General features: G+C 43.8%; 1 protein-coding gene across 116 annotated transcripts in view, besides 1 other annotated feature; it reads left to right on the forward strand.

The window, feature by feature from the left end:
- Nucleotides 1–21,671, forward strand: part of ZBTB38 (zinc finger and BTB domain containing 38) — a 125,607-nt gene that overhangs the window by 81,976 nt on the left and 21,960 nt on the right. For 17 of the 116 annotated variants that reach the window (XM_047447849.1, XM_047447844.1, XM_047447852.1 and 14 more), the window contains one exon: nucleotides 7,328–7,478. The exons of 74 other annotated variants lie outside the window; for them this stretch is intronic. In XM_047447849.1, coding sequence (XP_047303805.1) covers nucleotides 7,401–7,478 — 78 coding nt within the window. In that variant the 5' untranslated portion in view covers nucleotides 7,328–7,400. Of the gene's footprint in view, nucleotides 1–2,722; nucleotides 2,764–7,327; nucleotides 7,479–19,965; nucleotides 20,177–21,472; nucleotides 21,661–21,671 lie in introns of those variants that run through there. 25 more of the 116 variants (XM_047447862.1, XM_047447861.1, XM_047447860.1 and 22 more) reach the window with 6 other exon arrangements.
- Nucleotides 3,646–3,735: an enhancer, noted in NCBI's record as "active region_20631". NCBI's record gives its function as "activates an Ori minimal core promoter by ATAC-STARR-seq in GM12878 lymphoblastoid cells {active_cell/tissue: GM12878}" and the evidence as "EXISTENCE:reporter gene assay evidence [ECO:0000049][PMID:35858748]".

Genomic DNA, 21,671 nt, shown 5'->3' on the forward strand with positions numbered 1-21,671 from the left:
TGTGAATGCATTAACCAATAGGTGTCATTAAAGGTACTTGAACAGGGGAGTGTTGTGGCTGTGCTTCAGGACCAGGCTCTTGTGAGTAGCTTGGGGGGAGATCGGGAGGAGAGGCAGGGCAGAAACTAGAGGCCAGAAAGCCAGTTAAGCTACTACAACCCACCAAGGAAAAAGAGGGGCAGAAAAGGCCTGAAATGGATGATAACAATGAAATGGGAAAGGAATAGATGCAAAGGGAAGAACTGACAGAATCTGATGTCTCAGTGAAGGAACAGCTAAAGCTGACACTGCGATTTCCAGAGCAGTGGTACCCATGGAGGAAACTCAGAAGGAGGTAAGGAGCTACATTTTAGAGGTGCTGTGTTTGCAGTGTTGAAGCATGCTGTCTCCCAGGCAGAAGGGGGCTTTGCGCTCCACAAGAAGGCCAGGGCTCATTTGGGAGTCTTTGGTTTATAAGAAAAAGTCAAGAGATGGGAAAAGAGATTTTTGAGAGAGAATATAGGGGAAAAATGGTTGAGGATGGAGCCTTTTGAGAAAAGAAAGGAAGATCTAGGGAAGCAGATAGAAGTCTGGCAAGATAGTAAGGAAGAACCATGGAGGAATGCAACTCCAGAAGCCAGCGGAAGGGGGTTCCTAATGGAGGGAGCCAGGCATGTCAGACCGTGGAAGGTGAGGGATGAGCTTAGGAAGACTGGTGGATTCACAAGTGCAAAGTTACATTGTTGGTGTTTTCCTTTTTAAGGTAATATGACGTGTATGATGAATATTAAGTGGTTTAATTTACACAAATTAAACCACTCAAATTTACACAAATCAAGAATCACTCTTAAATTTGTCCCCGGCAAGTCCCAAAACACATTTCTGATTATGAAAATTCAGGCTGTTAAATGTGGTTTTGATAGTAGTCATACACTGTATTCTGTTGTCAGCATACAAATTAAAGAATATCCCTTAATAGAATTGAGTCCTTTAAAAAATACATTTCTGTTGACTCAAAAAGTTTCTAACAGTAATGTAATTCCATTGCCTTTTACCATATGGCTATTGTATGACATGTGCGTGTCTGCGCATTTTCACGTGCATATGAGCTTAGTACAATGGAATGAGGAGACCGGGGTCAGATAAATCTAGTTTCACAACCTAGCTGGGCCACTTTCCAGACTTGTGACTTTAGAAGAGTTTCTCTCTAAGCCTGACTTTTTCCATGCATAACTCATATAGGATTATTTGGAAGACTAATTAATACATAATTTGGTCAGGATTTCTATATACCATAGTAGGTAATTAATTAATATTGGTTCCCTTCCCCTCACAACCTTGTATAGATATGTAAATTTATATATTGTGCATCTACACGTAAAGCCTTATCTTTAAGACTCATTTTAATTTTTAATTTTATCACAGAAAGCACACATCTCCTATTACCACTGATTTATTCTGGGTTAGTCCCAGTGATCATCAATTTAGTATGGACAAGAATCCACCTGGGGAACTTGTCAAAATGTAGATTCCCAGGTGGGGCAAGGGAATCTGCATTTTAAACAGCACTGTCATGGCTGGTGACGAAGATTAACAATTGCCAATTTCTGCGAAGCAGAGGAAGAGATAAACCTGAGATTTGAGATGCTAGTTTCAACTCCTGTTTCTACTAGAGATATGTCTATACTCAAAATTTTTATATCATTAATGTTAATGGATTATATGCATAATCAGACAAAAACAAATACGTTCCAGAGAGTCAGGGAATGGTGGTATTATTGCACCCTCCCACCCCGCATCATCTCATTGCTCTCTGCTGTGTGATCACAGTACTGGGTAACAAGCTGCCTGCAAACCAGTTTCTTTTTCTGGGGAATAAGTGATGACACCCTGTCCCCATGGCCAGAGTTTGCAAAACCATTGTAACTTGTTTGTTAGCAATATGTGACAACACTACAGTCATGCCATTAAAGTATTCTACATGACTCTGTCTTCTGGTGGATAAACATCTCTGTCATTGTATTATTTCCCTCAATCTCTGCATCTTAAAGTCACTTAATTTTTAGGCTAAAGTTCATATTCTTCATCTATCCCAACTCCATTTTATAGATGAAAAAATCATTTGGCTGGGCACAGTGGCTCATGCCTGTAATCCCAGCACTGTGGGAGGCCAAGGCTGATGGATGACCTGAGGTCAGGAGTTCGGGACCAGCCTGGCCAACGTGGCAAAACCCCATCTCTACTGAAAATACAAAAATTAGCCAGGCATGGTGGCGCACACCTGTAGCCCCAGCTACTTGTGAGGCTGAGGCAGGAGAATCACTTGAACCTGGGAGGTAGAAGTTGCAGTGAGCTGAGATCGCACCACTGCACTCCAGCCTGGGTGATAGAGCAACACTCCATCTCAAAAAAGAAAAAAAAAAAGAATGTATCATTTTTTTCTTCCTAATTCTAGCTTCCCTCTTTGTTTATTCACAACAAAGGATTGAGATATATAGACATGTTTGGTGTTTAACTTAGATATGGAAAGTATAAAACATTTGACATGTATATGGAATTGCTCTTTATGTTCTCTATACATAGTTTAGAAATCAGATGACTTATTGGGAATATATTTATGAAAACTATATTGAGTCATTTTAAAACGATGTCAGCATCCTCTTGCTGGTTTGCCTCTTTGGAGGAGGATGCTGATGGCCTGGAGCCTTTCCTAGAAACAGAGTTTCTCTCTCTATACCCACAGCTCCCAAGGAAAGAGGATGGAACTGACATTCATGGAGTTAGGTCTGTACCTTATATGCATTATCTCAGCCATCTTTTAGAACCTCAGACAACATGGTGTGGCAAGTGAAGCAAAAAGAAACTCAACTACAGCCAAGATTGTAGAGATGGGAGTTTATTTTTTTTTAATTATTATTTTTTAAGACGGAGTTTTGCTCTTGTTGCCCAGGCTGGAGTGCAGTGGCGCTATCTCAGCTCACTGCAACCTTTGCCTCCCGGGTTCAAGTGATTTTCCTGTCTCAGCCTCCCAAGTAGCTGGCATTACAGGCAACTGCCACCACGCCCAGCTAATTTTTGTATTTTTAGTAGAGATGGGGTTTCACCACGTTGGCCAGGCTGGTCTCAAACTCCTGACCTCAGGTGATCCACCGGCCTCAGCCTCCCAAAGTGCTGAGATTACAGACGTGAGCCACCGTGCCCATCCTGAGGTGAGATTTTTACACCCTGGGGTCTGTCTGACTCACAAGGCCAGCCTCTTCTCTCCACACTCTGGGCTGCCTCCCCAGCCACATAGTGAGAGTATGAAACAGGTATTTGTTCCTGATTTTAACTGAGAGGCTCAGAGATCCTCATCCTTAATATTATTGTAACCTCAGAATTTTTGACAAGAAGCAAATGGAGCAGAGATAATGTGCAAACTTGAATTTGTTCAGCAAATATTTACTTAGTATCAACTACGTGCCAGGTAGGAGATCAGGACCCCACCCTCATGGAGCCTCCCTATATCCCTAACCTATCCTTATCTACTGTCTGTGCTGCTGCTGCAAGCCTTTCTTTTAGAGTAAAACACCAATGGAGTTCCACACTGATCAGATCAATCAATTTGTGTCTTGCTATAGCTGTCACTGTCACTGTGCTGGGCTAAATGTTCCCAGAGCCTATACCAGTTGAAAGTTTAAAACTGCTCCTTGGGGGATTGCCCAGAGGGCTAAGTAAATGTTTGTTGATTACCCTCTGAGGCCCTGAGGAACTCTACAGGGGGCTAGGAAAATTGCCCAGAGCCCCTGCAGGGCTGGGTTGGGGTGAGAAGAAAGACATTCGTGAGAATCCAGAGGGGAGGCCTAGGAATTGTTCCCAGCATGACTTTGCTTGTTTGGTTTCCTCACCTATAACCAAAGAAGGTTTTGCTCAATGGTGGCTGTTTCCTTCCGGCTCTAAGGTGTAGTACTTTATTTTCTTTTGAGCAGAAAAGCAGAGGTGCTGGGACAAGCAGGGGCAGGGACTCAGTCTGAGGTCTCCCAGGGGTCTCAATGTAGTAGCTCCCTCCTGTCCTCATAGATATGCCGATATTAGCCAGACTTTGGGTTCTGCCTTTAACCCTCTACACTTGAGGAAAGTGCATGAATTTAAGGGTGGGAGATTGTCCACTTTTGAGGGAATGAAGACTCTTACAGAAGGATTGGGACAGGCTGGTAATCATGGTTTTCAAATTTAATGCTTACAAGGAACCTGGGAAATAAACTAGCCCGACCTCTTTGCATTCCAGATAAGAAGAGTCCAGAGAAGTCTTAGGACTTGCTCAAGGCCACATCATTAGTGGCAAAGTGGGAACAGAACCCACTGTCCTAGGCCCAGTCTGCCAGAAAAAGGCAGGTTATCAGAAGAGCAGGAGATGGCAGTCAGCAGCAAAGCTTAAAGAAGGACTGGCATTGTCCCATGAGAGCAAGCTGACCATGACATCTGCTGGGCTTCCAGCAGACACACGCAGTAGGACACCGTGATGCAAAGCTTCCGGTCCAGTTGGAGCCCTTGGGTTTTTGCCAATTAAGATAGTCAAGCAAATTTATTTTTGACCTGGGAGAGACAGAAGGCTGTTTTCCATCTTACAAAAGCATTTCTCCTCTCTTATGTAAATGAAAATTCCTAAGCTGTATTATAACTTAATATTGAAAGAAATTAAAACATTTACGCAGGGAGAGAGGAAGACCCAGCTTGCGCACCCCTATTTTTCTGGCCACTACTGTGAGTGTTCATACCAGGATGCATTTTCATGAAAAATCCAGTGGCTGTTTAAGTCCTGGAAGGGTATCTTGGGATTATTTCAGCAACCCGTGAAGGCAGGCTTTGTGCAAGGTGAGACAGATATGAGCTGTCACTTCCTGCTTTGTGAGTTGGATATTGTTTCTAGGCCCTGTTTTATTTATGTTATTTTTCCTGTTCATGTGTTAGAACAACTGACTGTTTGTAGAGTTGATGACAATTAGATAATAAGACCACCAATTCAGTCCAAACAAAGATGAATTCATTATCTTGCCAGGCAAGGGAGACCCACATATTCAGATCAGTCTCCCCATACTTTTGTGCGTTTTCATGTAAGCATGGAGATTTCCGATTAGTTTTAATAGCACAGTGATTGGCTCCTAGACACCTAAATGAGGATTTCCTTTTTGAAAAACCTACTCAGCATTCTGATCTGTCCCTGCTTAAACCTATTTAGTCTGGTCTTATAGTCCCTGACTTGAGCCCAAAGAGCAAGGTTTCTCAAGGTCTCTGTGCAGGTCTTTGATGCTCTTTCGTGGAAGAGATTTACAGTGGTTACAGCCATAACCGGTGCCTGTGGCTGAACCATGCCTTCTGTAGTGTGTTCAGCCCTTCCCTTGAATTAATGCAAGTTCCACCTTTGCTTTAATGGGAGGGGACAGAAGGACCACTTTGAGGAAGCGGAGGCAAGAAGATAGTCTGCAAAAGCCATGACGTGGCACTGAAATGAAGCCCTGTGTAGGGTTTTACTCAGACGTTAGAGAACTGGCTGCCCCTGAGTGCTGTGCTAACTAGGGAAAGAAAAAAAACCCTGACCTTTAAAATTTTTCCTGTGAAGGTCTAGCAATTCTGGAGTGTCTTCAGCGACTACACAGTGTAAAGCAACTTTTTGCACAGAAGCACCATAAATTACCTAAATGGAAATTTGCTTCTAAGTGAAGTTCTTACCCTGTCTGTTGGATATTTAGTATTGTCAATATTTGTTTTTGTTTTTGACATTTTCAGGAAACCAAGAGCTTTTTGTCACATTTGAAGAATCTCTTTTAAGAGTTTCTTTTCTATTTATAATGCGTTTCTGATAAGAAGATTTGCACCTTTCTCTATTTTAGAAAATACTTTTTGAGGTCTTTTGTTTTTCCTTTTATGAAGTTTAAATAGTTGTCTTAACCTCCAATCCTAGCAACTCCCTTACATTAAAAATGACCTATATTTTTTTTCTCCCATGAGGTTCCTTTGCTCAGAGAGAATAAGAAAAGTTCTGGTAATTAGTCACTGTGGTATTCTGTAAACAAATACTTTGGAAGCTATGATTTATGTTACTGGTCGGGAAGAAAAAAAAATGGTTTTGTGTATCTCTAGACGATTACCCTTGTGAAAGGCAAGTGCCTCGTATTCCCAAAAGGTCTCTTGGGTGCCCTGTTTGTTGTGTTAAGGTCTCTCAAAGCCGGTGGCCATTTTCTGCGAGCTGAATCCCTGTGTGAAACTCCTCCCACTGTGAGGTCTACGAGCATTTGTTTTCTAAAATGAAAGCACAGGCAGAAACTCAAGCTATTCTACAGAACAGTCTGTTCTTTTGATTTTTTTTTTTTTAGATCAGTATATTTAAAGCATAATTTTTCTAAACAACATATTGCGAGTGTTTACCTGCAGTGGTTTGGAGTTTGTTTGGGGAGTTTTAATTATTTTTTAATGTAGACAACTTATTTACCAACATCATTGCTCCTTCTGCTCAGATAATTCTACCCTAAACCAGGTGAATAGGGGAACTATGTAGGCACCTGACTACTGCCAGAAACTTTCCTTCTGTTTCTATTACCTTTCTTTTGGGGTGAAATTGGCAACAGCTCACTGGAACTTAGCTCCCTTAATATTCTTTCTCCCTCCCACAATTTTTTCCACTCGGTTTTTTTTTTTTATCTGAACCATTGTTCATCCATTTGAAACACTGGCCAGAGTTTTTGTCGCTTTTCCATAGTAGGAAAGCCTTTGTGCCTCTCTTTGTACCTCAGACCTACTGGTGGGCTTGCCGGACAGCTCTGCCAAGCGCCTGCGTCTCCTGAGCCTATGAAGAGGCGACTTTCACAATCCTGTGCTGCCTTCGAGCTCTGTGCTGCCAGGCCTGGCCTCCCTCCAGAGGTCGTAGTGTTGCCAGCAGTGGCTTCAAACTGGAAACATGGGAGGAGGAATTGTGGGAAATGGGGAAGAAGAAAATGTTTGTGCAGGGAAAGTGTGTACGTGGACTTAAATAAATATCTGAGGGCCCAGGCCCATACAGATGATCTCTGTACGCTGGTATTTTGCGCCTGGAGCCAGGTGTCTGTTGACAGTGGGGAGGAGGTGGGGAAGACCCAGCCGGCCGAGAGCCTCAGCCACCTTCCTGCAGGAGGTCCTCACACCCCAGACGGTCAGAATGCTCCCCAGACTGAGGAATCAGCTGCACATCCCCCTGATGTCTCTAAAGCTGAAATCTGCTTCCTGGGTTTAGCCACCATTTTCATTGAGCAGTTCTGAGGATTCCTTGTGGGTACTTGTGATCTTGGTGGAGATGCTTCATGGTGTTGACCCTATTGTTTTGAATACCTGACAGCTGGATGGTCCAGGCCCTATTTCTATGATCTGTTTTTTGGAACTGTTGTATTTGTGTGACACAGTGATGGAGCATGATGTCAACTCCCACATACTGTAACCCAGGAAGGAGCATGATGTCAGCTCAGGATACCGGAACCGATAAAAACTCAGTGAGTGTTGCTTCCCCCGTTACACACCTGCTCATGATGACTTGTGGGATGCTTGTTTTAAAGGAGAGCTGAGTGCCTCTGATAGAAAATCTGATTTCATGAAATGCTTATTAGGAGTTAAGTACCCCTTTTTCTTGAAGCTTGAACAGACTTTATCATTAATGTGACTGACTGGAGCAAAGTGAAGAGTTTGATACCTGCCACTCTGTCTCTGAAGATTTACGTAGAGAAATTTTCCCCATAGGAATGGACAAACTAAAGGGATCCTTAAGAAATAGTATGTCACCCAAATATATTCTGTGGTAAGGCTTCTCAACACCTGTTCTTCATTAGGACGGAGCACTCTGAGAGTTTTGAAAACTTGAATACTGACATCTCATCATTTAAATTTTAGAAGGACAATGACTCACAGTACAGAGATTAAAATTTCACAGGCAGAACAAAACCTACATGTGATTTATACTTACGTTTTTATAGACTAAGATCTAAAACTCACATACATACAGGAACAGGAAAGTAATATGAACATCAAATGTGGGCTTGGTATAAGAAGGTAAGCAAGTGGTTAGATTGTGGCAAACTGGAGGTTTGAAACTTTTTCACACAGATAGGGGCCTGATGAGAGCGTCTGCAGGCCGAATGGAGCCTATGGACTGCTTCTTGCATGCCAGTTGCACGCCATTTGACTCAGTCCGCTGATCCGAATTCCCTCAGTGGCAACCTGCCCAGTCTTCTCCTGCAGAGCGTTGGGCTTGAAGCTGTCTAAGGCCCAGCCCAGGGAAAAGTAAAGACCATTGAACCTTCTCCATGTCACCACAAATAAGTCAGCCACTTCAGATATAACTATGTCCATTTCATACAGGCAAAGTAATTATGTCAGTGGGGTCAGTAGCAGAGCATAGTATTTGTGTCCAGGGACATCTGGAAGGCATCAGACAGAGCAGCCCTGACTAAGTTGCCCAGTGCTCGGTGTACTGATCCCAGGGTGAGACAGGAAGAACATCAGAGGAAGCCCCTCTGTGTCCAGGCATGTCCGTCTTAAGGCAGCCAGATGGAACCAAGCCTGCAGAGGCTAACCTGGATGGCATCAGGTGATGGATGACAGCAAGGGACAGCAGATACGTCCTGGTGTACTTGGTCTTTGGTATGTTTGGTCCAAGGATGTTTTCTGAAATATCAAACAGTGACTCCTTAACTAGGCCTAGACTGGGACAATCTGAGGATTGTCCTCTCTGCCTCTGTTGACACTTTATTGACCTTCCACACACCCTGGAATTTACAGTGCTTTCCCTCTTTTCTGCATATCTTTTAACCCTGCCCTTTCTTTCTCGGTGCTGAGTCATAATGTCTTTGACGCACATAGCACAGGGCCTGGGATGTAAAAGGTGCTCAGTCAATGTTAGCTTTTCTTGTTTCTGGCATCATCATCATCATCTTCTCCATTCTAGCTATTATTTCACCAGAGGTCAGGGAACTTGGTTTCCCTACACTCCATTTAAACCACATCTTCAGGGGTACCTCAGCCATCTCCACCCTGACATAGATGAAGACGGACCAGACATACAAGAACCTTTTCTGGAATCTGTCCTGTTTACGTCACCCATTTTCGTTGTAGGAGTTGGGCTTTTATTAGAAATGCAAGTTTCTGCCATTATAAGTCAAGTTGTAGGGCTTATGCTGTGTGGGCTGGACTCTAGGGGGGCCAGGGTGGAATCATTCTAGAAACTTGTTCCAGGATGACTTGACCAAAGAAAAGCCATCAGATGCTGTTGCAGTGGAGTCCTGACATTTGCTACCCCCAGTGTGGTCCTCAGACTGGCAGCATGGACATCCTCTGGGAGTCCGTTAGAAATACAGAGCCTCGAGCCCTACCCCAGACCCGCTGTGTCAGAAAATGCACTTAACAAGATCCTCAGCTGACTTACACACATTGACATTTGAGGAGTGCTGCTCTAGACACTCTGGCGAAGCACAGAGACAGACTGACATAGAGATTGGCCTATGTAAGATTGTGGACTTGCTAACTAGGAGGTGCATTGGAGGCTTTGGTCTTAGGCGGTGGGGTTGAGGGTTGTGCCTTTTAAGCCCTGCTGTAGAAATGTATGATGGGGTGATTGACCACATTAAGAATCTGATTCTGAAGACTCTTGTTGTCCCCTGGTTGTGACTTTAATCTTATAGTGCCTCATTCCTTTCCACCATCTCCAGCCCCCACTGACCTTCTGGCCTTGGAAACCCTGTTGCCAAGCAGGGAAGGTCCTATTTTAGGGGACAGAAAACCTTTGTGTATCAGGGAACTGACATAAATAATTATAATGTAGGATTTTAATGGTGGAACGTGTATCAGTATAAAAACGAGGGGTGGTCTGCTCTCAGTGAATTTTTATGGGACCCTTGTAGGTGGTGAAAAGGGAGGTGTAGCTGAACTTCTTTAATGTTCATGGCTGAGGGCATTGCCTGCTCCTGAGAAAACAACGGGAAAGACAGAAATAATTAATCCCATGCTGCCATGGTGACCTGTCTGGACTGGAAACTACTAGGGTGGTGAGAAAAGGGCTGCAGAATCTTAGAGAGGAAATTCCAGCTTCATATTACATTAATCTAGTTTAAAAATGAATTAAAAGCCTTTTCAGCCCTTCCAAGTTCTTGCCTACATTTTGAGGGCAGCATGGCCTGGCTTTTTGTGAATTTATGGTTGTTGTGATTTTTTTCCATTCCGTGGAGTACTCTCAGGTGGTCCTTTGCCCTGGACTCACAGTGGCCTGGGGTCCCTTGAGCAGAACACAACTTGGGAGTGCAGCTGGATATCTTAGGAGTCTCTGAGCTGGCTCGCTCTCCCTTCCTCTCTTCTTCCTCTTCCTACCACTGTCAGGAAGCTTAGCGTGGAGTTCTGGATCCCAGCTCCCTCTCACATTCATTCATGTGAGCTACTGCCATGGTGTCAGTAATGGGTTGAATGGCTGCACCCCAAAAGATGTGTCCATGTCCCAGAACCCGTGAGTGTGACCTAATTTGGGAAAAGGGTCTTCACAGATGTAATTAAGGATTCTGAGATGAGAGGTGGACTCTAAAGCCAATGACAGGTGTCCTTATAAGAGACACACAGTAGAGACACTTGTAGAAAGGAGAAGGCCATGTGCAGATGAAGGCAGAGGATAAGCGTTACGCAGCCACAGGCCAAGGAGAGACTGGAGCCACCAGAAACTAGAAGGGGCAAGGAAGGATTCTCCCCCTGCAGCCCTCACAGAGAGCACGGCCCTGCTGACTCCTTGATTTTGGACATCTGGCTTCCAGAATTGTGAGATAATGAATTTCTGTTGTTTTAAGTCACCAAGTTTGAGGTAATTTGTTACAGCGGCCCCAGGAAACAAGTACAGTGTCCAAACCTAACCTTGATCCAGCAGCACAAGGGAGCTTGTTAGAAATGAGATTCTGGGGCCTTACCAGATTCAGTCAGTCTGGAGTGGCACGAAGAAATGAAATCGCAGTAAGGGTCTGCAGGTGGTTCTGATGCACCAGCATCCATTGTTCATGCTCCCCTTTTAGCCCTATTTTCTTTTCATCCAATTTACTTCAACTTGGGCAAAATGCATGCTCACGTTTGCAACCACCTCCCATATGTCATTGCACTGTACATCTGAATCTTCACCCCAGCTCCCTTTCAGCACTGAAGTCCATTTTGGATGTCTGTTGATTGAGGGAGCCACCTGCATTTTCCTCAGGCTTCTCAGAGGGAGCACAGACTTCACAACCTTCATTATCCACCTCCCAAACCAGCTCTTTGATCTGGGCTCCTGACCTGTTAGTAGCACATCTAAACGCAGTAGAACAGGCACGTCAGTCATTCTTGCTCCACTGCCTTTCCCCTAATTTCCAGTTAGTCGATTCTTCATCCAAATAGCTTTCAAATTTTTCCCCTCTCTTTCATCCCCACCTGTCTCTTTGCCTTCTTTCAGACTTTCTCCAGACATCCTTCTAGCCAAACTGCTTTCAGAGTGACCTGTCTGCAAATTTGTCAAATCATTCCTATATTAAATCTTTTAAATGACTTGCCATTGCTCAAGTTGTACATAGAGAGCTTATTTTAAAAGCCCAGGCTGTGCGCAGTGGCTCACACCTGTAATCCCAGCACTTTGGGAGTCTAAGCAGGCTTGATCACGAGGTCAAGAGATGGAGACCACCCTGACCAACCTGGTGAAACCCCATCTCTACTAAAAATACAAAAATTAGCTGGCGTAGTGGTGCATGCCTGTAGTCTCAGCTACTCGGGAGGCTGAGGCAGGAGAATCATTTGAACCCAGGAGGCAGAGGTTGCAGTGAGCCGAGATCGCGCCATTGCACTCCGGCCTGGTGACAGAGCGAGACTCATCTCAAAAAAATAAATAAATAAAAAATAAAAAGCCCAATACTCAGGCCCCACCCAGGACTAAACACATCAGAATCTTGAATTGGGGCCTGAGTATTGGTGTTTTCTCAAGTTTCCAAAGGCGATTTCAGTATGTAGTTAGGGGGTGAGAACTATGGGACTAGAGGATAAGGCCCAAACTCATCCAGTATTGGAAACTTTTCATGACCAGGCCCCACCAGGGTTCCTCCCCATCTCCTAGCGCAGCCCTGCACATGCCTGTGGGGCAGCCATCCCACCTGTTTGCCCCTCCCCAAGTGTGTCATTCTATTTCATACCTTCCTGCCTTTGCTTAGACCTCTGCCTACAAAAGAATGCCTTTTTCCCTCTTGGATTCCAAGGAAATTCTCCCTATCCTTCAAGAGCGAGCCCCCCCTCCCTTGCACTGACTCCTGTTCCCCAGTTTAAGGCTGCTTCCTCCAGAGCCCTGGATGCCCCATCAGTGAAGCACTCTCATCATCATAGGAGCTGTCTGCACGTCTCTCTCCTCCATTGGAGAGTGGGCTCCAGGAGGTTGCTGAATGAGGGAAGAAATAAAAGATTCAAAAAGGCCAAGGAGAGGAAATCATTCTGTTTCTTAGAATTATTGTACTGATACTGCATTATACCTCATCAGATACTTGTTAAGAAAACAAAACTCTGCTTGATTTTAGTGAAAGCATTGAAAATGTGTTAGTAGTAGTAATATTGTGTACCATTAATTGAATATTTGCTAGCTAAGGTCTCTATATTCACTGCCTTCTTCAGCTATCACAATAATCTTCTCAGGTGTTATTCTCATTTTAAAGAACAAGTTAAACAAAATACTGTGTGATCAAGTAAACGCAAGATGGTAGAAAATACAAAGTAGAATATTTACGTGATCACCTGGTCAGCAGTGTGCTAATGGCATGCTATAGACTGATCAGGAAAGACTGGTTTTGTTGGTAAAGATAGCTAACCATATTGTATTAGTCTGTTTTCACACTGCTGTAAAGAGCTACCTGAGACGGTAATTTATGAAGAAAAGAGGTTTAATTGACTCACAGTTTTGCAGGCTTAATGGGAAGCATGACAGGGAGGCCTCAGGAAACTTAATCATGGCAGAAGGTAAAGGGGAAGCGGCATCTTCTTCACATGGCAGCAGGAGAGAGAGAGCAAAGGGGGAAGTGCCACATACTTTTAAACCATCACATCTTGTAAAAACTCACTGTTCAGGAGAACAGCAAGGAGGAAATCCGCCCCCATGATCCAGTCACCTCCCACCAGGCCCCTCCTCCAGTTCAACATGAGATTTGGGCAGGGACACAAACTCAAACCATATCACATATGTAGTTTTTTTGAGTGGCAGATACATGTATGACACTGAATTTGGCATAAAATAAGCACAACTGTTAAGCATACCAACCAAAAGATGAGATGGTGGTTTATATTTGCTAATGTTTAGAATCACACAAATCTAGTCTTCCATTTAAGTACGTTAGAAGTTAGTTTGAAGCTCAGAGTCACAAGATCAGGACTGAAAACCCGACCTTTCCAGTGACATGTGATGTGGTGCTGGGACTTTGTCTTCATTTTTCTGAGCCTTGGTGTCCCATCTTTGAAATAGAAATACAATTTCCCAGCCTGCAGTAGCATCGTAAGAAGGAAAATAAGGAGGGGTGTATGAAAGAGATTTGTAGGCCAGGCACAGTGGCTCACACCTGTAATCCCAGCACTTTGGGAGGCCGAGGCAGGCAGATCATCTGAGGTCGGGAGTTTGAGACCAGCCTGACCAACGTGGAGAAACCCCATCTCTACTAAAAATACAAAATTAGCAAGGCGTGGTGGTGCATGCCTATAATCCCAGCTACTCGGGAAGGCTGAGGCAGGAGAATCGCTTGAACCCAGGAGGCGGAGGTTGCAGTGAGCCAAGATTATGCCATTGCACTCCAGCATGGGCGACAAGAGCACAACTCCGTCTCAAAAAAAAGTGATTTGCAAATGGTACAAGGCTACACAGGAATGAGGCTGGGTGTTTTTGTCTTTGTTCTGTGTTTGGGTTGAGAAGGTTGGTCTTTGGGAGGAGTCAGGATGAGGAAGGTGGTGTTCTGCTGGGTAAGCGGATATGGGCACTGAAACAATCGCAGGCTGCCTGAATTCCAGGCAGGGTGGGGCACGAGGATGCTGGGATGTGAGCCTGAGAAAAACAATTGGAATGAGCTACTTAGGGAGAATGAGGGAATAGAGAAGAACAGTTGAAAATTAGAGTCTTGCTGTGGTTTTGAAACAGTGAAGCTGAGAGAATGTAATTGGTTGGAGTTTTGCACTGGGTCACCTGTAACCAAAGACCAGCCCAGAGACCACAGATCAGTTCCAGGGAGCTTGATATCTTGATCTTTTATTCTTAGGTTATTCCCAACAATTCTGCTCCCAGGAGCTCTGAAACTTTCTGGATCTGAGTTCAAGAGCTTACTTGCCTTGTGGCCTCAGTACCTTGATTCCAAACATATTGATGGATTAAGCTGTTCAGAACTGCTTCCTACAGGGTCACATCCTAATGATGTGTGCTCAGTTTCCTTCTTTAAAGATGAAGCCAAGGCTTTCTCTTTTTTTATTCTAATAGATTTAAAAATATTTTCTAAGTATAACAGTACTGATCTCAAAATATGATTTTTGGGGAAGAAGAATGATCCCTTTCTGCTGCTCTGTGGAGGTGAGCTAGAATACAGTCATGTCTTTTTATCCCAGTCATCACCGTCCTGAACTTACTGAAAGTTTCTAGAGCAGGAATCAGTAGAGCATGTTTAAGTGATCAGTAGATGTATTTTAAGATAGAATTGATGTTCTAAAATACCTCAGCAGGCAGAGAAAGGATGGATAAAACAAACACAATTAAGTTTAACCAGAATAAATAAGGGAAATTTTGAGTTTCAGTTAAAAAAAAAATCCAGTCCTGGAGGTTTGGAAGCCATAGGAGAGGAATAAAACAAGGGAAGAAAGGAGAAGTTCAGGAAAAAAAAAAAAAAAGTCTGTATATTATAAATAAAATCAATTATTGAGCACTTACTACTTGCTATGTACTTGCTGAGTGCTCATATACTCTCAATCCTCCCAGAACTCCATGATATGTATAGTAGTCACTCCGTTTTATAGATGAGGAAACTGAGGCTTACAGTGAGGTCAACCACTTTAATAAGTGGGGTCCTAGCATCTGCCATTTGAGGAGTATGGCATAATAAGCCATGTGGAACCAGGAGTCTAGAAACTTCTCTCTTTTTTTTTTTTTTTTTTTTCTGTTTTTAACTAAGACTGGGTCTTGCTATGTTGGCCAGGTTGGTCTTGAACTCTTGGCCTTAAACAGTCTTCCCGCCTCAGCCTCCCAAAGTGCTAGGATTACAGGTGTGAGCTACCACACCCACCGGGGAGTCTAGAAACTTCTTTTGGTCACACTATGAGATCTTAGGCTTTTCTGTAGAGTTTTTTGGGTTTTTTTGTTTTGTTTTGTTTTGTTTTTGTTGATATAAGGGAGTAGCTGAAGAAATTGGAGATGTATAGCCCAGGAAAGGGTAAACATTCAAAGGGCTGTCGTATGGCAAAGGCTACAGTTGAGGGCCCCTCAGTTGCTCCCTCCCTGGTGGGGACTTCTCTAACAAGGAGATTCACACACTGGCTGGAGCCGTCCTCAGCCCCTCACCCCACTCCCCATCTGAAGAATCTCTAAAATCCATTCATGGCAAATAAGAATGAGTCAGAGTGCGTGTTCCACTAAGCATCATGCCCTCTGTGCTTTTTGTTATCTAAAACATCCCAAGCTCTGGTCATAGTGAAGTGATGCTTACTCATCTGCCCATTTTGAGAAAGGTCTTGGGGCTGGATGACTGGCTACCTGGGACCCAGGAGCATTTCCTTGAGTGGTCTCAGCACCATCTTGTGGACACAGCACTGTGAACTGGGGATGGGCTGTGGTCATCAAATCTAAAGGAACCCCAAAACACAACCCTGAAAAAGCTGCCGCTGGGGAAGGGCTCTGCCCAAGGAATCCTGTTTTTAAGAGGGACTGCCTGCCCTCAGAGCTAGGAACTGCCTTGGGGCATTCACTTTTATGACTCTAGCCTCCTTACTAAGCCCATGACACCTGAAAGCAGAATGGGCAGGCTCAGCAATGCAGAAAGAGCCCAGCCTTTCCAGGAGTATGCTGCAGTACTGGGCTACCGTTCACTCAGGGGGACAGCAGAGGCCTCCTGGGTAGGGGGAGCCCCATGCCCCTTTCTCTCTGGCCTTTCTCCTCCTGCATCCTGCCCCACCTCTCGGGCCAGGACACCCCTGTACCCTGCCTCCCCTCCTTGCCTGGCACTTATTGCCTCTCAGAGCATAAGTCACCTTACTGCGTTTAAAAGGCCCCTCGCCACCAAGGCAAGGATGGACCAGGATGAAGCTGTGAAGGGAACAGAGTGCTCCTATGCTGAAATTCTTTGGCCTTCTTAGCCTAGTCTCCTAATGCTCTGGTGAAGCTGGGTGCCCTGATGTTTCTATGTGTGAAGAAACTGAATAATCATCTAATTCAGGGTAAAGTGATGCTCGGAGGGCAGATTTGCTCAATCTCTTTACTTGGACGGGAAGGGGCAACGTTTAGGCCTATAGAAGCCACTCAAGGGGTAGAAGCTCCCCTCTGGTTGTTTGAACCCCTAACCTCTTCTCTGTTTATTCTTCACAGTGGGGCTGTGCGGGTGCCTTATCCTTAATGGGCATGCAGGGCTCCCCAAAACAATATAGTCACTTAATTTTGTGTCTGTTAACACACAGTTATTGACTGTATTTATCACAATATTGCATCGTGATGCATGTATCTATTCTTTCAAAGTATTATAAAAATAATTTTTTATATAATTCTTTGAAAGTATCAAAAAATAGGTTTTTTTCACTGTACCAAAAATATTAACATATTCTCCCAAAGTCTTAATATATGAACTCTTACTGTATTACCTATAATCCCGTATTTTGTTAAAAATTTGGTTTTGCATGTGCCTTCCACAAGCACTTTTTCCCTGGCTTCCCTTCTTTTGGGGTCAGCCTGGCCTGAGCCCTTCAGCTCCTGACGATACGGCCTGCAGAGCTGATCTTGCCAGGACTTAGAGGAAGCTCTTAAAGCCTGAATCTCTCCAGGCCACTCAACTCTCCACTTCAGCACTAGGGAAATCTCCACTTACAAACTGACCCTGCTTCCAATACCTTTCAACTGTCGAGCATTTAATTGGTTGCTAGTATCATAATGAGATGGACTGGAGAAAAAAAGCTGTAGTTATAGGTTTTTGTTTGTTTGTTTTCTGGAATTTTCATGGAAGATTACGAGAGTGAAAAGCAATAGAATGAGATACTACATTTTATCTGTATTATCTCATTTAATCCTTATAAGAATGAGGTCACACTGCTGTGTCCACTTTATAGTTTTTTTAAAAACCAGGTCTAGAGATGCTAATTAACTTGTACATGTGCATACAGCCAGCAAGTTAGCGGAACTGTAATTTAAACCCAGGAGTGGGTAACCAGTGCTCTACCTCTGAAGACAAAGATAACTCACTATACGGGAAGAAAAAGGATGCCCCACAGAAGAGGAAAGGAAAGCTTGGAACTATCAACTACATTTGACAGTTCCCGGTAATTTAATCAAGGACTTCAAGGGAAGCTTGAACCAAAATCTAAAATAAAGCACAATAAACATGCCAAATCCCAAAGTGAACCCAAATTTTTAATTATTTTTTACTGAACAAAATACAAACTAATGAATCCACTAAACTGAGACTTAAATGAAAAAGATTCTAAAATCAAAAACCCAAAACACCAAAGTATTCTCTAAAATAAATTGTAACCAAACTGATATGTTATTAAAAAATCCCCTTTGCATCAAGAGAAAGGAGCAGATGTGATTTGTCAAGTCTGTAAACAGATCGGAGAGGTAATGAGGCCCAGTGCAGGAGAGGCTTCTTTAGGAAGGTGAAAGAATGTCACTATCCAAAACAGACAATACACAGATAAAACCCTAGCTTTGTTTTTATTCATCAATTTATACCCAAATTTGAGTGACCTTCTGATTTAAGAGGATAAGTCCACATAATGGAAATTTATTGATGATCTAAGTATTTATCTTAAACACCTTCCTTTCTACCAAGCTTTTTACTGGAACAGGTAATAAACAGTGAACTTGAAAGACTTTTTATTTAAATAGTTACTGCCAGCTTGGTGTGGTGGCTCACACCTGTAATCCCAGCACTTTGGGAGGCCAAAGCCAGAGGATCACTTACGCCCAGGAGTTCAAGACCAGTCTAGGCAACATGGCAAGACCCTGACTCTACAAAGAAATAAAAAAAATTAGCTGGGCATGTTAGCGGGCACCTGTGATCCTAACTACTCAGGATCTGAGATGGGAGGATCACTTGAGCCCAGGAGTTCCAGGCCACAGTGAGCAATGATCAAGCTACTGCACTCCAGCCTGGGTGGCAGAGTGAGACCCTGTCAGTAAAAAAAATAAAAATAAAAAATAATAATTCCTTTTTCCATTTGCTTAGAAGAGATGCTAACAATGCAGCTAAAGAAAGAAAATTATTTAAATGATAGTTATAATTAAATGCCTGTATGTGTGTGTGTGCGTGTGTGTGTGTGTGTGGTGGCCAAAGCTCACATGTAACTGCTGTCTGAATTAAGAAAGAATAATTAGTTAATGAGCCCCTATGGGGTATCAAGCACTGTGAGGGGGTCTGGGGAACTCTGGACACACAGTGAAATAGGATATTTGTCCCTGCCATTGAGGAATTTCACATTCCCTAATTTGGGGCCTGGGGCCAAGGCTTAGCTAATACTTGCTCCTGCTGACATTTTTGACTAATAATTAATTGGTAATAGTAATAATAATAATAGCTAATGTTTATGAAGCTTGATTTTTATGCCAGATACTATACCAAGCACTTTAAAGGTACCACTTAGTCCTCATGTTAACCCAAGTATCTTCTATTATTAGCTCCCATTTTGCAGAGGAAGAAACTGAAGTGCAAGGAGTTTTTAAAATTTGCACAAGGTCACAGCCAGAGCATGACAGAGCCAGGTCCCCCAGATACCAAAGTTCAGACTTTTAGCCACTGTACCAGACTGGACATGGTGTGCCTTATCCTAAAGTATCTATCGTAGAGCCCTGTTTTAAGAATGGAATAACATGGAAAGAGTAACAATGCTTTGCGAGTCTCTCAGTTCTTTCAGTTCAGCAACTTTAGTCTCCCCACCATTCCTTTTCTATGCCCCCATCATATGGTAACTCTACGTATACATTCAATATTATCTTGAAATGGGAGTGGATAAAAATCAAAATCAAAATAAGTCATATTCATAAGTGCCATATATTACTTTGAAGTTCACATTTTTTAAGAAAATGAATTAAAAGTAGAATTTATGGAAAATACTGAATTTCCCTTAAATGTTCACCCCAGGGCCACCTGGTGGTCCCATATAGCATCTTTGTACATAGTGAGAAATGGCCTTCTTCTGGCAGGCACTGCAGCCCTGCACCGAGGGACATGCCCAGCCAAGCAGAGCCTGGGCTGCCTCTCAGCCTACCACAGGGCATAGCCTGTACCCCACACGTGGCAGCCCTGCTCCAGGCCCAGTTACATTTTGCCAGATGTAAACTGGTCAGTAGGCTAGTGTGATGCCCTATGAGCCTTCAATAGTTTGGTCGCTAAATGAAACCAAGAAAAACATGGACAAGCTAAGTTCTTTATGTTTTGGTGCTCCTGCACCTGAAATGGAAAGTGTGGTTTTGAGTCATGCTGCCTGGGTTTGAATCCCAGCTCTGCCACCAATAGCTAAACAATCTTGGCTGAGTTCCACAGCCTCTCTAAACCTCACTTTTCTCATTTGTAAAATGAGAAAGATTGCTGTGAGGCCTAAATGGAATGATATAAATGCAGTGTGTAGAACGGTGCAGAGCACACAGCACATATATGCTTGTTAGGTGTTGGGACACAGCTTGGATGACATATGTAGGTGACTTCCTCCTGTCAAATGATGTCACAATGGGGACATTGTTGCATTTGTTTGGAGTATGGGCATGTCACTTTAAAGCAGTTCTCAGACAGGCTGCCCAGAGGGGCTCCAGCATAAGCAGGAGACATGGTAAGCTGTTCCTTCATAGTGTAGTCAGAAGTCACAGGCCAGGTCGTGCGGACTATATATCTTGGTAATTTTCAGCAGGATGCAAAAGCACACCTGCCCAGACCCTGTCTCCCAAACCCTGGCTCAGTGTCAGTGATATCATTGATCTCAAATTCTTTTTGTGGTTCCACAGGTGAGTCTGATATGCATAGTTCTGAGAACAACCGTTATAAGTACACACGACCGTGCCTTTTCCATCTACTATTCATTGCCTGATGGGGGGCAAGTGCTGGGATGCAGAGCATCTACAGTTTCATGACCCAGCAGCAGGCCACAGACCCAGCACCGTCTCCAGATTAGCTCCTTATGAGAGGAGGAGAGGAGGCCGGGGGAGGGAGCAGACGCCAGAAGGAAGTGACCGGTGAATGCAGGGTGGAAAGCTGCCAGAGTGTGGGAAGGGAAGATGTCACGTGGAAGCTAAGTCCTTTACAAACACCCAGCACCAAGGCCTCACACGACACTGCCATGTCGCCACCTTTACAACTTTTTTAGTATTAAATTTTAAAGAATTTGTTGCCAATTCAGCCCAGGTACTCAAGACAAAGGCCAAATTCCTGGACTTTGAACAAAGCATGTCGGTAGTGCTTGAAAGATTGCTCTTTTTCTTCCTTTTGGCCAAAATGGTGATAGTAAGCAGTTTTTCAGTGTTCCAGAGCTGTGGTTCAGTGTTTTAACTTGTTTGGGCTGTAATAGCTTTGTGGGCAGTGGATAGCTCTGTTTTATCTTATGCAGCTCAGCTTTAGGCCAGCAATGTCGATTTGTGTGTGGGGTGGGTTCTTTTTCCTTTTTCATGTCAGAACAACCTTCTTGGCTTTTTTTTTTATGACCACCCATTAGCATAGGTGGGAAATAGCAGGGCAGTTCAGGTTGACCTGACACTGGGTCTGGAAAGCTCGGTAACAGTGCCAGGTATGATAGGCTCTATAAAGCTTAGTTTTGGGTGCTTTCTGTTTTTCATTCATTCAGTAAAGGTTTATTAACAATTATTATGTGGCAGTTGCAGGGCTGAGTGCTAGGAAAACTGGTCAACAGTCTCAGCCCTCATATAATTTTTACTCTGTAGTAAAGGCACAGACTTGTCAAGTAACTTTTAATTACAATCATAATAAGTACTATGAAGGAAAAGTATGCTAAAAAATATATAACAGAGGCACCAGATGGGAGGAGAGAAGTGGGTGGTGGATGGAGGTGAGGGTGGGCTGCCCAGGCTAGAAGGACATTCCAGGCTGCAGAAGCAGCATGTGCAAACGCCCTGGGCTGGGAAGGCCCCAGGCACACTCAAGGAACAGAAGGGTGGCTAGTGTGGGTTAGAATGGCAGGAAAGGAGGTCAGATCACAGGGGACCTTAGAAGCCTTGGTAAAGCAGCTGAGATTTGGATTCAGGGTGTTGACAAGCCCTGCTGACCAGTCTCCACTCTGTATTGGCCAGGAGACTCTTGCCTCCATCATGGAGGAGGTTCACACCAGAAGCCAGCTCTGCCCTTGGAGACTCTCTTCCCCCAGTGCTCCCCTGAAGCTTCACACTCACCAGTCTCATGCTGCACCCTGACCGGCAGGTCCCTAGCATGAGCCCCATAATCCCTGGGGACTGCATTATCACAGACCAGTAATAAGAAGGTAAACCTACA

Source organism: Homo sapiens, chromosome 3 (genome assembly GCF_000001405.40).
Source record: "Homo sapiens chromosome 3, GRCh38.p14 Primary Assembly".
Classification (NCBI taxonomy): Eukaryota; Metazoa; Chordata; class Mammalia; order Primates; family Hominidae; genus Homo; species Homo sapiens.